The sequence below is a fragment of the Homo sapiens genome, chromosome 8 (genome assembly GCF_000001405.40).
Source record: "Homo sapiens chromosome 8, GRCh38.p14 Primary Assembly".
Taxonomy (NCBI): domain Eukaryota; kingdom Metazoa; phylum Chordata; class Mammalia; order Primates; family Hominidae; genus Homo; species Homo sapiens.
The window spans coordinates 99,975,706-99,990,951 of record NC_000008.11 but is presented as its reverse complement, the minus strand read 5'-3'; the positions used below and the strand labels follow the sequence as shown (position 1 = coordinate 99,990,951).

Genomic DNA, 15,246 nt, shown 5'->3' with positions numbered 1-15,246 from the left:
GCGGAGGCTGCAGAACAGCAAATATTGCTGCCTGATCCTTCCTCTGGAAGCTTCGTCCCAGAGGGGTAGCTGCCTATATGAGGTGTCTGTCAGCCCCTACTGGGAGGTGTCTCCCAGTTAGGCTACATGGGGGTCAGGGACCCACTTGAGGAGGCAGTCTGTCCGTTCTCAGAGCTCAAATGCCGTGCTGGGAGAACCACTGCTCTCTTCAGACGTTTAAGTCTGCAGAAGTTGTCTGCTGCCTTTTGTTCAGTTATGCCCTGCCCACAGAGATGGAGTCTAGAGGCAGTAGGCCTTGTTGAGCTGCGGTGGGCTTTATTTTCACATCATAGTACAGCAGCTTTCAACATCTGACCCACGTTTCAGTGACTTGCCCAAGAACCATATGCATTGTGGAATTCTGATACATCTCTTCAAGAGCCCCCACGTTGCATGCCAAGAATGTTGCAGGACTTTTCCTTCGTTCAGCTAAAGACTGGGTTCTTGTCCATCCCACGGCCAGGAAAATTTAGGCTTGGAGATGGCTTAAAGGGTGAATAAAGCTGGGTTTTATTGGGTGAAAAGGCAGGGGGAAGAAATGGGAAACAGGGTCCTTCTGCAAGGCCAGAGTCCCCTGCTAGAGGCTTCCCATCGGCCCTTGGAATTCAGAACTCTGTTCTTTTTTAAAAAATTATTTTTTATTATTAGGGTCTTGCTCTGTTGCCCAGGCTACCGTGCAGTAGTATGATCATAGCTCATTATCACATCTAACTCCTGGGCTCCAGTGATCCTCCTGCCTTCGCCTCCTGAATAAGGAGCTCTATTCTTAAAGAAATCCTTGACCTGCTCAACCTTAGAAGTGTGTGATTGCCTTAAGTATGTATTTTTCTTTATTCTGCATGTCATGGATTTACTGAGACAAGCTGTGCATTCCAACATATGACAGTTTATTATTGAGAGTAAATTACTCAACAAATGAGTAGCATGCAGCAGAATCAGCAGGTTAAATCGTCTTACATTATGACTTTCATTTATCTGTCTGTCTATCTGTCTATCTATCTATCTATATCTATCTATCTATCTATCTATCTATCTATCTATCTATCTATCTGTCTGTCTATCTATCTAGAGACAGAGTCTCGCTCTGTCGCTCAGGCTGGAATAAAGTGGGACAATCTCAACTCACTGCAACCTCTGCCTCCCAGGTTCAAGCAAGTCTCGTGCCTCAAACTCCCCAGTAGTTGGGATTACAGGCACGCACCACCACACCTGGCTTATTTTTTGCAATTTTGGTGTAGATGGGGTTTTGCCATGTTCCCCAGGCTGGTCTTGAACTCCTGAGCTCAGGCAATCCACCTGTCTAGGCCTCCCAAACTGCTAGGATTACAGGCGTGAGCCAACACACCTGGCACATTATCCCTTCTATTTAGAACTGCATTTTAATCATAACTGTACGCTGCTCTCAGGCATCCTTACAAGGGCACTTTGCCGAGCAGGAGCATACATAAAAAATCAAATCAAATTGAAATAGAAATAAAAATATTAAAAGCAAAAAGATAGAATTTTAGCTTTAAAAGAATTAAGATAACTATCATTTTGGTGACTTAAAACCACTACAATATAATACCTGGCTAGAAATGGCCTATTTTACTTTGTAACAAGCATGATAAACGTAGTCTTCCTTTTGAGCTTATAAGTTTTATGTGTATTTATCCTTCTGCAGGTCCTAATAAAATGTCCAACTAGACCTAGGTGACCCTCTGCTAACTAACAAAAATAGATGTTTATTTGAATATTGGAGGAATGTATGTAACTGTTAATATGCTCTTTTGTGTATTTTCCTCTTGAAAAGAAAGAAACTTTTTTAATGTTTGTTTTTTGCTATAATTTTGATTGAAAATTACATAGAATGGAATTATTTTTATATAATTATTACATATATTTTATTATTTTGTTTAAATTACAGGTTTTAAATTTCTAAGTTTTAGTATCTTAAGCAGATCTTAAAATATTATTTGCTGAGTGGGTTTTAAATAAACGTCCCAGTCTAATACATAGTTGTTCCTATTTGTAGGGCTATAATTTTAATATGGACCATATGGTGGGGGTCTTAACTTTTTGTCCACAGAACATGACATGTGTCTCACTAAAATAGTGATGGACATCTATTCACTTTATCCGGGTTAATGGCACCACCATTCATCTAGACTGCCTGGAGTTGCCTTCACTTTTCAGTTTCCAACTCAGATGTCATCCTCAAGGCCCTTCTCTGTAAAGGTTTTACTCCTCCAGGCAGAATTAGTTACTCCTTCCTTTGTGTTACCATGGCACTTTTTAAAAATATAACTCTCTAAACACTTAAATTGATGGTCACATATTTGTTTCAAGGAATTTATTTTATGTGTTGCTAAATCCATCTAAATCATTGTCTTTGGAATGATACTTCCTTGCATGGTTGTAAGCTAAAAATCAGCTTTGGGAAACTTAAATATTAAAATCTATTTAGTGAATTCAATAAAATCGATTTCTTATGTTTTCAATCTGAAAGGCTAAATGGGGTTGAATATGTGATTTTAAATGGGCAAAATTTTAAAAAGTAGATATTTTATATTTCCAAATTGTAAAGATATAAAATAAATGTTGATAAAAATACCTTTAGGTGTTACTAAAATGCCATGGGTGCTTCTAGCTTTTATGTTATGTAAAGTAAACCATCAGTCAAAGGAATTTTATTAAAATAATTTATTAATAATCATTATTTGTTATCATTATTTTAAATCATAATTTATTAAAAATAACATAAAGATGTCTCATCTAAAAATATAATATTTTCAGGATAAAATTATAGTGAAGCTCTATAGTAAATTATTTAACTTATAGAATCAATTGATAATTTTTTCTTAAAAATGAGAAATATTAAATGTTTAACTACTTTTACTTTTTAAAAGGCAGGAGAATTATATATTAATATATAACATGTAATAATAAAATAAATAATGTAATAACATATAATCATAACATTATGATTACTTTGTTCTGTTTAAGCACAGAACTCATACAATGCACTAAAAAGTAGTTTTTCACCATAATCTCAAGCTGTAATAACTGTTAACATTTTTAAACATTGTAGTCATACGGTCTAAATCATCTAGTCATTTCTTTTTCACTCTACCTCCTAAAAATGAAGCCATAAAAATATAAAGGAGACAAAAGAGAAAGGAATAGGTGAAAATGTTGTGAAATTCTATTATAGCCATGCCAGGCATTTCAACAGGCAAAATTTTAGGAGATAGAAGTTGGTAATTGTTAGCCTAATTAATGAGCTAATTTCCTATATTCTCTGCTTTGGACAGCCTGTGGAGAGTAAGTGGATCTCTTCATCTTGTAAAATCATTGCTTTTCGCAAAGCATTATTGAATCCAGTTACTTCAAGACAATTTCAACGTTTTGTGGCTCTAAAAGGAGATTTATTGGAAAATGGTTTACTCTTTTGGCAAGAAGTACAAAAATATAAGGTATTGTATTGGGAGCTAGAGAAAACCACCTGTTTTGAGGAGGAAATGCATTAAAATGTCAGATTTTTAACTAACTTTATGCACAAGATTTGTATAAGATATCCCAATTTTGCTATCTTCTTCCTACCAGTATATAAATATTGAGATGTTTATTGTCCAATCTCTAGATACATTTATTATTATACAGTGAAGAGTAAGAGTGAGCCCTGGAATGATAACACAGGTTGGGCATTCCAAGTCTGAAAATCTGAAACCTGAAATGCTCCAAAATCTGAAACTTTTTGAGTGCCAACATGATACTTAAAGTAAATGCTCCTTGGAGTATTTCAGGTTTTGGATTTTTGGGTTTGGAATGCTCAACCAGTAGGTATAATACAAATATTCCAAAACCAAAAAAGAATCCAAAATCTAAAACACTTCTGGTCCTAAGCATTTCAGATAAGGGATACTCAACCTGTATTAGGTTTTTTTTCAGGTATTAACATACATAAGATTTAATGAGAACCTTCCTGCAGAGAGTTTTAACTATATTTCTACACATCAATTATCTCTTAAATGTACTGTACATATTTTTTTCCTAACAATGTCTATATTTGGTGTATCCATACAACCAAGATCTCTTTGTAAGAATCCCTCCCAGCCATATTTATAGTAATAGTAATCAAAGATACTGGATTATGGATAAATAAACCAACAGAGAAGAGAAAAGAATTAGAAAGAATTAGAGATGAAAAAGAATAGCCAAATTCTTAACAAAATAAGTAAAAGAGAAATGGCTAGGTACAAAGACAGTTTATTTTCAGGGTTAAGTGTTTAATGTAATCATACAGAATCTTTGCATTGAAGAGGAGGAAGGGACTTTCCATGTTATGTTGTCTAGACTTGAATAAAGAAATGTTGTATAGAAATACTGAAAGGTATTTCAGTCTTTGCTTAAATGCTCCCAGAGGTAGCAGGCTCATTTCCTTGCAAGCAGTCTATTCCATCCCATTGTAAACATGAGGAATAAAAATTAACAATTTAGGAGCATAATGCTTTCAAATGGCCTATAACTATATATTATATGACACTAATACAGTTGCTCAACATACAGTTAGTAGTTGCTCAATAAAATTTATTTCCAAGCTTTTCCAACATACAGTAAAATTGTTTTCTACCCTTTTCTGTTATCAACAGTTTTTGTACTATTCTCAGCTGAGACTATAATATTAAAAAACAATTTTTTTTTGAGACAGGGTCTCATTTTGTTGCCCAGGCTGGAGTACAGTAGCACAATGACAGCTCACTGCAGCCTTGACCTGCTGGGCTCAAGCGATCTTCCCACCTCAGCCTCCCAAGTAGCTGGGAGTACAGGCATGCACCACCATGCCTGGCTAATTTTTAATTTTTTTGTAGAGATGGGGTCTCCCTATGATGCCCAGGCTGGTAAAAAAAAAATTTGAGAGAAGTTTTTTCACAATCTTTCACATGAGCAATATTAAAATAATTTTTTTGAGATTAGAAAGGAGGTAGAGTGTGTTTTCCACAATAGATAATTTTTTTATCATGGGTGGGTGGAACTATCTTTAAGCTAATATGAATATGAACAAGTCTAACTTTGCTAGGACAAGAGGTAATGAGATAAACTTTGTAAAATAGGTATTTTAAAAACCAACTATAGACTTATACACAGTGAACCCTTAGTTTTATGACTTTCTCCTTTAAGGCTGCCCTTGGTCTCCATTTTAATATCTTTTCTACAATATAGCATGACAGACTTACAATACTAGGTAGCTATTAAAAAGCATGCTATAGGAGTAAATTTGTTCATATAACAAACATTTATTAAGTATCAAATGTTATTATGCTAAATTGTAGGCGTAAAAAGGTGAATACAACACACTGCCCTCTTTCAGGCAGGAAGACATCCATGAGAACAAATATTAGGAAATAATGTTGATTCTGATGCATGTTCTGACTAGGTATGGTTTTGGCACAGAGGAGAGAATGATGGGGTATGGGGACAATAGGTCAGGGAGGTCTCAGCAAGAGTGATGACACTTGCATTGGGCCATGAGGGAGTTTGCCAGTTGGAAGGCATTTATTCCACTTTGATAAAGTCTAACCGAGCTAACTCTTATAGGGCTTACTCTTATTAAGTGTTTACTATGTGCCAGATATTGTCTTAGTGCTTTTCATGTAATAATGAATTTATTCTCACAAGAATCCCATGAGGTCAAGGATGTGATTCTCATCACTTCACAGATGAAACTAATGCACAGAAAGGCCAAGAAATTCCCGACATCACACAGCTAATTAACTGGTAGAGCTAGACTTTGAATCAGGTCATTCTATTGCTAAAGCCCATGCCCTTAACCACTAAGCTGTGCTGCTTCTCAGTATTGATTGTGGTAATATACAAAGAGATGGCTGGAGTAATCTTAGTCAAACATTACTCGGGATTGTGAAAAGTTGGAAAGAACCCAGTTGTACAACAAGGACGTTGGTTACTAAATTACGATATATCTATATAGTAGAAGATTCTCTAGCCGTTAAAAATGTTCCAGGAGAATAATCAATGATGGGAAAAGATGTTCTGCTCATTGATCTTTTTTAAAAACTAGCTACTAAAAATCAGTATGGTTTAATCTAAAGTGTGTGTGTGTGTGTGTGTGTGTGTGTGTGTGTGTCCGTAAAGACTGGAAGGATTTATTTATCCAACAAATATTTATTAGGCACCTACCAAGGGGCAGGCCAAATCCTGAGGATACAACTGTGATCAAAACAGTCTACCCTGTTAGAGCATATAGTATCAGAAGAAGGACAAATGAGTGGTAGACAAGGCAATTATAAGAGTGTGATTAGTGCAACAAGGGAAGAAGCACAGTGTGCTATGGGAGTACCTGAGATGGACATCTCTCCTGGACTGAGAGTCACAGAAAGCTTACTAGAGGAAAGTATGCTTAAACTCAGACCTTAATAATAGGCAAGAGTTAACTAAGCTAATGGCACAACAGGGCAGAACAATTAGAAAAAAAAAATCAGTTATAATTCTGACCAAATGCTGTCCTTTTACTCAAAATTATAATTGTATACTTCACAAATTTGTTTTATTTCACAAGCCTTATATTCCATAGTTAGGAGGCTAATTGAATAATATAAAATAGGCTTTTTCTTTTCTTTTCTTTTTTTGAGACACCATCTTACTCTGTTGCCCAGGCTGGAGTGCAGTGGTGTGATAATGGCCCACTGCAGCGTCAACCTCCCTGGGCTCAGGTGATCCTCACACCTAAGCCTCCCCAGTAGCTGGGACTACAGGCATGCACCACCACACCCAGCTAATATTTTGTATATTTTTGTAGAGACAGAGTTTCACCATGTTGCCCAGGATGGTCTCAAACTCCTGGGCTCAAGCCATCTGCCCACCTCGGCCTCCCAAATTGTTGGGATTACAGGCATAAGCCACCACACCTGGCCTAAATAGGCTTTATTCTAAGGTGATGCTAAATTGAGTATGAAGTGCTAATTGTCACAATGTAACATTATATTAAGCTTTTTTCACACTTAACTTATACCAAATTATATATAAAGTTTTACATGAAAGACATCAGAATTTTTGTTTCTTTTGTAATATCCATAGTAGAGCTATTACAATGCCCAGCATATACTGGGTACTTAATAAATGTTGGTTCATTTCTGGGCCTAAAGTGAGAAGTTTCCAAATTTGCTTTCTGATGATTTGGAAAATAATGACTTTGACAGAGAAATGCCATAATTTGAGCTAAACTACCTCTTTATTTTAAAAAATGATAGTCCTACACCTGTGACTTTAAAACTAGCTCATTTTGGGCAAAGGACATGAACGGATACTTCTCAAAAGGTATATAAATGGCCAAGAAACATGAAGAAATGCTCAGCATCACTAATCATCAGAGAAATGCAAATCAAAACCACAGTGAGATACCATCTCACACCAATCAGAATGGCTATTATTAAACGGTCAGAAAATAACAGCTGCTTGGTGAGGCTGCAGAGAAAAGGGGGCACTTGCACACTATTGGTGGGAATGTAAATTAGTCCAGCCACTGTGGAAAGCAGTCTGGAGATTTCTCAAAGAAATTAAAACAGAGCTACCATTTGACCCAGCCATCCCATTACTGGATGTATACCCCAAGGAGAATAAATAATTCTGCCAAAAAGATAAATGTACACATATGTTCATCACTGCACTATTCACAATAGCAAAGACATGGAATCAACCCAGGTGCCCATCAGTAGTAGATTGATAAAGAAAATGTGGTACATATACACCGTGGAAGACTACATAGCCATAAAAAAATGAAATCATGTCCTTTGCAGCAGTGTGGGTGGAGCTGGAGGCCATTATCCTAAGAGAATTAATGCAGGAAAAGAAAACCAAAATCCACACGTTCTCACTTATAAGTGGGAGCTCAACATTGGGCACACATGGACATAAATATGGGAATAATAGACACTGCTGACTACTAGAACAGGTAGTGAGGGGAGGGTGGGTTGAAAACCTACCTGTTGGGTACTACGCTCTACCTAAGTGACAGGATCTGTACCCCAAACCTCAGCATCACGTAATATTCCCATACAACAAACTTGCACATGTACCCCCGTGTCTAAAATAAATGTTGACAATTTTTTAAGTGGCTCATTTTAATGTGTGATCATTAATTTTAGGTTATCTATAAAGAGGATAATACAATAGGGTAACTACACAACATAGATAATAAAAGATATAGAATGGCACACCTGTTGACAACCAGCATGCCCAGTACCTTTTTGAGCCTAAATCACCTTGGCGTAGAAGCAGGACTGGACGGGAAAGCTTTTATATCCACCTGTAGGTGGAGTTAGGTGCCTATTCTCAATGTTCTCCTAGGATACTATGTATACCTCTATCATAACATTTATTAACTATCCAAAATAGGAGCAACATGTTCTCACACTTCTCCTCCAGTGGAGATTGAACCTTAAAAGGGTAGGGCCTGTGTCTTGAGGCTCAGCTCAGTGTCTGGTATATAACAGGCCCTCATTATACGGTTGTTAAATGAGTCAAAGTAGATACTAATGTCATTCCTTTGCCTAGAGGAATAAGTGATCAGGATTATATGAAATCTGTATTTATGTAATGTAGATGTATCAAAGTCTTAGGTTCCTCAAATCCAAGAGAAAGAAAATCTGTAATTTTTTAAAGACAGCCTTGAAATATCCCACTGCCTTCTTGACCTAAAGTTGAAATGCATATATTAATTGAAACACATATTGATACAGTTCTATTAAGTGTTCTGGTAATGCATTAATTATATACCATTCTATCTTTCCTTCTGTTCAGGACTTGTGCCATTCTCATTGTGATGAGTCTGTCATCCAGAAGAAGATTACAACTATTATCAACTGCTTTATTAATTCCAGTATTCCACCAGCTTTACAAATTGACATTCCAGTAGAGCAAGCCCAGAAGATTATTGAACACCGGAAGGAGTTAGGACCATATGTATTTAGAGAGGCACAGGTAAGAGATCAGGGCATGTGGCTAAGCATATTTTAAAATAGATTGACAATCCTTTTAAAGATAGATATCCTTTTGGGCCAGGCGTGGTGGCTCACGCCTGTAATCCCAGCACTTTGGGAGGCTGAGGCAGGCAGATTGTTTGAGCTCAGGAGTTTGAGACCAGCCTGGGCAACATAGTGAAACCCCGTCTCTTAAAAAAAAAAAAAAAAAAACCTAAAAAAAAGTAAATAAAAATTAAAAAGATAGATATCCTTTTAAAGCTTGTACGTTATTCATATTTGACAAGGTTCCAGTCCTCCCAATACTGGGACTTATTCTATTTAATTTAAATAATCTTTGCATATGTGACTGAAATATAAAAAGCTAGTAACTTAAATGCAGTTTTTTTCGTGATCATATACAGTAAATAAAATTAAATATTACCTTTTGGCTTTCCATGGTTACCATTTTTGTTTTTAACTTGTTAACCTCCAGCTAATTCCTCCTTTCTTTTCCACTATTGGTAATTCCTTTTAAAATATCTGCTACCACAAAAATGTGTAAAATATGTGTGTCCCAAGATTTGTGTATTTTTAAAGATTGGAATATTCACATAGCTCATAAAATAAGTGAGAAGAGATTTAAGAACTCTACCAACATAAAGTATACAAACTCATGAAAGGAAAATTGTGCCTGTTAACCTGCTCAAGTTACTTCTTTTTAAGATAAATAATAGAAAACAGTGACTTGGTGAACATAATTTATTTGCATTTTAAAAAGCCTTTTAGTGATGTTGTTACTAAAAAATGATTAAGAAAAATAAATTATAATAGGGGTAATAGGGAAGGCCATGTCATGAATGAAGTGATATGAAACAGAGACTTAGGGTATTATTGCCCTTGAGCATGGAAAAAGGCGATTATTCTTAGATTCATTTGAGAGCCAGCTGTGTTCTAAGTCCTCTAAGGAACTAAAAGTGGACTCACAATCCAAATTATGCATTAAAATAGGCAGAAATATAGAGGAATGATTGAGGACGTGCTATAGAGAAACATGGTGTCAGAATGGTAATATCTGTTAATGAAAAGATCTTAGAGATAGCTTAACCTAGCCTGGGTTTTCTAGTAACCAGGCCAGGACTTACCCATCGATACCAAAGGCCTTGAGTCTGACGGTAAATGTCTGGAGCTGCCGATACCTTTCGGTTCTGGTATACTCTTCAGGGACTGTAACCAAAGAATTTTATTGGAGTCTTCTAGCCTATGACTTCTACCTGATTTTCTAAAAGGGAGTCCTAGATATATCTTAAATATGGACGTTAGAGCATCTGAAAATAAATAATCTTTATTTAGGGGCCACATCACACTGAATCTGTTGTTATTCCTGTTTTCCCAAGGAAGTTTAGAGAATGGCATTGCCTCCTACCCCAGGATACAAGCCACAGATCTGGTTGGCCATCTCCATGTCTTCCCTCTATTTCATTTCCTTACCTCTGTATCTAATCCGTTCCTAAAACTTACCTAGTTGTCTCCTCGTTATCTGTCATTCTATCCACATCTCCACTCAACTACCTCACTTTAGATCTGCAACATGACTCATAATGTATTACAGAAACTCCTGGCCTCTGGGTTCTCTCCAAACCATCCAACTCAGGGCAGACAGAGCAATCCTTTTTTAATGTATATCTGATCATGTCACTTCTCTGCTTAAAATATTTCAATTCCGGTGCAGCACACTGGCTCACACCTGTAAGTAATCCCAGCACTTTGGAAGGCCAAGGCAGGAGGATTGCTTGAGGCCAGGAGTTCAAGACCAGCCTGGGCAATATAGTGAGATCCTGTCTCTACAAATAATAATTTTAAAACTATTTCAGATACTTCCCACTGCCCTCAGAATGAAGTCCATACTCCTAGATATCTCTCTAGCTACATCTTTTACCACTCCCTGCCATCTCTGCCCTAGTCTAATTGAAATAATTGTAGTTTCATAAGTGGCCCTTACTGCTTTCTCTCCTGAGCTTTTTGCAGTATCGTCTTCTCTCCCTTGTTTTTACCTCTGTTGTAACACTTATCACACTAAATTGAAAGTGATTGTTCTCATGTCTGACTTTCCCATTAGACTGTAACCTCTTTGAGGGCAGGGAATGGTTCTTATTTATCTTTGCAGTCCAAATGCCAGGCATAGAGAAGGCATTTTTTGGACACATAAATGAATGATGTGAGAAGAAATATATCATGACAGAAAGGAGTAAGATCAAATTGGATATGAGAGCAAAGTTGAGCAGAAGGGCTGAATAGTAAATTTAAAACTGCTGACAGTTTTAGCATTGTATCAGTGTAGCCTCTGTCTATCCCTCACTCCCACTCCCAATAGCCTGAAAGTTTGCATCACTCAGCCAAATTTTCACTGGCCCCTTTTGCTCATACTAAAGCCATTATTTATCTACTGGCAGTGAGTAAAGTAGCTCTATATTTATTAAAACATTTTCTTATCCACAATTTGGTTATCTTTTAAGATTAGAGAGGTACAGGGTAATTTTAATTAACAATATATATTAACCTACAATCTCAATTGCAACTTCTAACAATAGAGTAGTTTTATGCCTTCTATTGAAAAATTGTGTCTTAATTGGGTGACTTTTACTTAGAAAGCCTTCTAAATGGAAATATATATATTCAAGAACTGGGACTGACTCAGGTTTTAGAAAGATAACTGAGAAGTATGATTAATAGAGGAGGAGGAGTATTTAAGCTTCAGTTCATAATAAAAACTGCCATGATCCCTTAACATTGGAACAGGGGATTACTTAATTAAATGTATGGCAGGTAAATGTAAATGAAAATGTCTTAAAAGCCTGCGTTTCATCAAATAAAGTATCTCTAGATTTTACATTTACACTCCCAAGAGGCTATAGAATTCAATAACAAAACTGTATTTTAGAAGGAGTGAATAATTTTAGTATTACTAATAGCATTCATGTATGGAAAAGAGGAGTAATGAAATACGCCATTTCAGGTCTCTGTTGATCACTGCAGCATTTACTTTTTAAAGATTCCTCTTTTCCCCTATGAGTTGGCTTGGAGCCTAATGGGATGGTTCATTTTTTTCCAGGGTATTAGGTAAAGGCCATTCCTAGCAATAAGATGTTGGACTTGATCTTATGTGGCAAGTCCTACCTTCTTGGAAGTAATGTATGCCTCTGGAACTAATGGAAAAACTTGGCATGAGAATTAGAGCAACTATTCTTATCTCTATAAATATCACAATTAATCACTTAAAGTGTCCTTATAGAAAGCATTTGTCCAGGATACCGTTCTGCTTTTTAAATGTTACTTTTCTTGCTCTCACATAAAAGTAAGAGATTATATCATTTAAAATTTACTCAAGATTTATTCTTAGATCTGCAGCTTTGTTTAAGAGCTTTTCCAGAGGCAAAATGGTATTTCCTTTCTCTAAAAGAAAGAAAAGAGGGAGGAGGGAGTTTCCTTGATGAACTGGACATTTGGAATACTTGCATAAAACAGCAGAGTGTATGGCAGATCAACTAGTATATGTTTTAAAAGAAAACATAAATTTCTTATTTTAAAAGACCTAATGGATTCTTTATTAATACAATCAATTGGTTAGGGAGACATAAAGAATAAAGTGACTTTTAAGTGTATTTAATGTATTTTTTTTTAAAAGAAAGACTTCTCATTGGTAATAAAAACCATTGATGATAAGCATGTGCTGAGCAAAACTATACCAAGATGTCTGGAGACAATAAGTTGGAGCAAACATGGTATATATTAAAGATATAATAGTTAATCTGTTATTATGGTGAATAGAGTTTAAATTGGTACCTTTGTATAAAATTGTAATCTTAGACTTTTTTTTATACAGATGACAATTTTTGGGGTTCTGTTTAAATTCTGGCCTCAGTTCTGTGAGTTTAGGAAGAATTTAACAGATGAAAATATTATGAGTGTTTTAGAGAGAAGACAAGAATATAATAAGCAGAAAAAAAAATTGGCAGTCCTAGAAGACGAAAAATCTGGAAAGGTGAGACAAGACTCATTTTGGGTTTTATCAGACTTTTAAAAGTTATGTGATATGTGTGAATTATAGAATAATTTTGTCTGGGGATATATAGAGAGAAGTTATGGAATACAGATATTAGTGGATTTTAAGCCTTCAGTCAGAAGCTTCAGACTTTTGGAATTCCTCTAAATTCATTTCAAATGTCATCTCTTCTAAGTGAAGACTTCCTTGACTCTCTGTGGCAACGCAAGCAGCTTGCATCCGCTGCAATAACGTTCCTCCACCTTGTAGAACATGCTTTATATAGTCCTGTGATTAAGTTTTTACGTCTGTCATCTTCATTGGACTAAGATCCTCAATGATAGTATCCGCCTTATCCTTGTTTTATAAGTCCTTACACTAGTGTCCAGCACATGCTTAATTATTAATATTGTTTATTGAATAAATCAGGAAATGAATGAACAAATAGTATGTACTGGCAGGGGCAACATTTTCAATATGAAAATTACAGAATGGGCCAGACACGGTGCCTCACGCCTGTAATCCCAGCACTTTGGGAGGCCGAGACGGGCGGATTGCCTGAGCTCAGGAGTTCGCAGCCAGCCTGGGCAACACAGTGAAACCCCATCTCTACTGAAATACAAAAAAAAAAAAAAAAAAAAAAAAATTAACCGGGCGTGGCAGCTTGCGCCTGTAGTCCTAGCTTCTTGGGAGGCTGAGGCAGGAGAATTGCTTGAATTCTGGAGGAAGAGGTTGCAGTGAGCCAAGATTATGCCACTACACTCTGGCCTGGGTGACAGAGTGATATTCCATCTAAAAAAAAAGAAAAATTACAGAATGATACATTGTGAAATGTGTAAACAAGTCACAAATTGGGCAGCCTCCCTATTTGTCTACTATCTGTCCGTTCATTCATTCATTCATTGGTCTCTTTCTCTCTTTATATTTATCTGTTTTAATTAAGAAGGGGTAATTGCTCCCAAATAACATGTTTCATCTTATTTATAAGCTTATACCTATTTCATTTTTAAAAATAAATGTAAAAGACACGGAAAGACACAAAAGTAATATAATGAACACTCACATTTATTTGTGCAGGCCAAAATAAACACTTTTAACATTTTGCCTTATTTTTCTTTTTCCCATTAGAAATAAAACATTGCAAATAGAGTAAGATCTAGTAACCTCAGCCCTGAGTTCTATAACCCTCCCTATATCTAGGAGCAGTCATTAAGTTTGGGATATATTTGTCCAGCTCTTTTTAAAGACAGTGGTTCAGTCGGGCGCAGTGGCTCACGCCTGTAATCCCAGCACTTTGGGAGGCCGAGGCGGGCGGATCACAAAGTCAGGAAATCGAGACCATCCTGGCTAACACGGTGAAACCCCGTCTCTACTAAAAATACAAAAAATTAGCCGGGCGTGGTGGCAGGTGCCTGTAGTCCCAGCTACTTGGGAGGCTGAGGCAGGAGAATGGCGTGAACCCGGGAGGCGGAGCTTGCAGTGAGCCGAGATGGCGCCACTGCACTCCAGCCTGGGCAACAGAGCAAGACTCCGTCTCAAAAACAAACAAACAAACAAACAAACAAAAGACAGTGTTTCATGCATGTGGATGCATTCATAAACAATACAAAGTACTGTTTTAATGTTTTTTAACTTACATAAATGGTATCATATTGTATTAGTCTGTTCAGTCTGCCATAAAAAGCATGTTCATTCTTTTTATTTTTATTTTTTTTATTTTATTTCTTGAGATGGAGTCTCGCTGTGTCACCCAGGCTGGAGTGCAGTGGTGCAATCTCAGCTCATTGCAACCTCTGCTTCCCAGGTTCAAGTGATTCTTGTGCCTCAGCCTCCTGAGTAGCTGGGACTACAGGCACATGCCACCATGCCAGGCTAATTTTTGTATTTTTAGTAGAGACAGGGTTTCACCATGTTGGCCATGCTGGTCGCGAACTCTTGACCTCCAGTGATCCGCCCACCTCAGCCTCCCAAAGTGCTTGGATTACAGGTTTGAGCCACGGCACCTGGCCATGTTCATTCTTTTTAATCAGCAAATACACTTCTAGAAATTTATTCTAAAGGAGAGAATCAGCTGGGTGAGGTAGCTCCCACCTGTAATCCCAGCACTTTGGCAAGCCAGGGAAGGAGGACTGCTTGAGCCCAGGGGTTGGAGACCAGCCTGGGCAACATAGCAAGACCTCATCTCTACAAATAATTTTAAAATAAATAAAT

General features: G+C 36.8%; 1 protein-coding gene across 12 annotated transcripts in view; it reads left to right on the top strand.

The window, feature by feature from the left end:
• The window catches only part of RGS22 (regulator of G protein signaling 22), a 145,114-nt gene that overhangs the window by 115,098 nt on the left and 14,770 nt on the right, over positions 1–15,246 (top strand). For 7 of the 12 annotated variants that reach the window (NM_001286692.2, XM_005250856.4, NM_015668.5 and 4 more), the window contains 3 exons: positions 3,333–3,494; positions 8,836–9,015; positions 12,877–13,035. In NM_001286692.2, coding sequence (NP_001273621.1) covers positions 3,333–3,494; positions 8,836–9,015; positions 12,877–13,035 — 501 coding nt within the window. The remainder of the gene's footprint in view (positions 1–3,332; positions 3,495–8,835; positions 9,016–12,876; positions 13,036–15,246) is intronic. The other 5 variants (XM_017013310.3, XM_005250858.4, XM_017013309.3 and 2 more) reach the window with 3 other exon arrangements.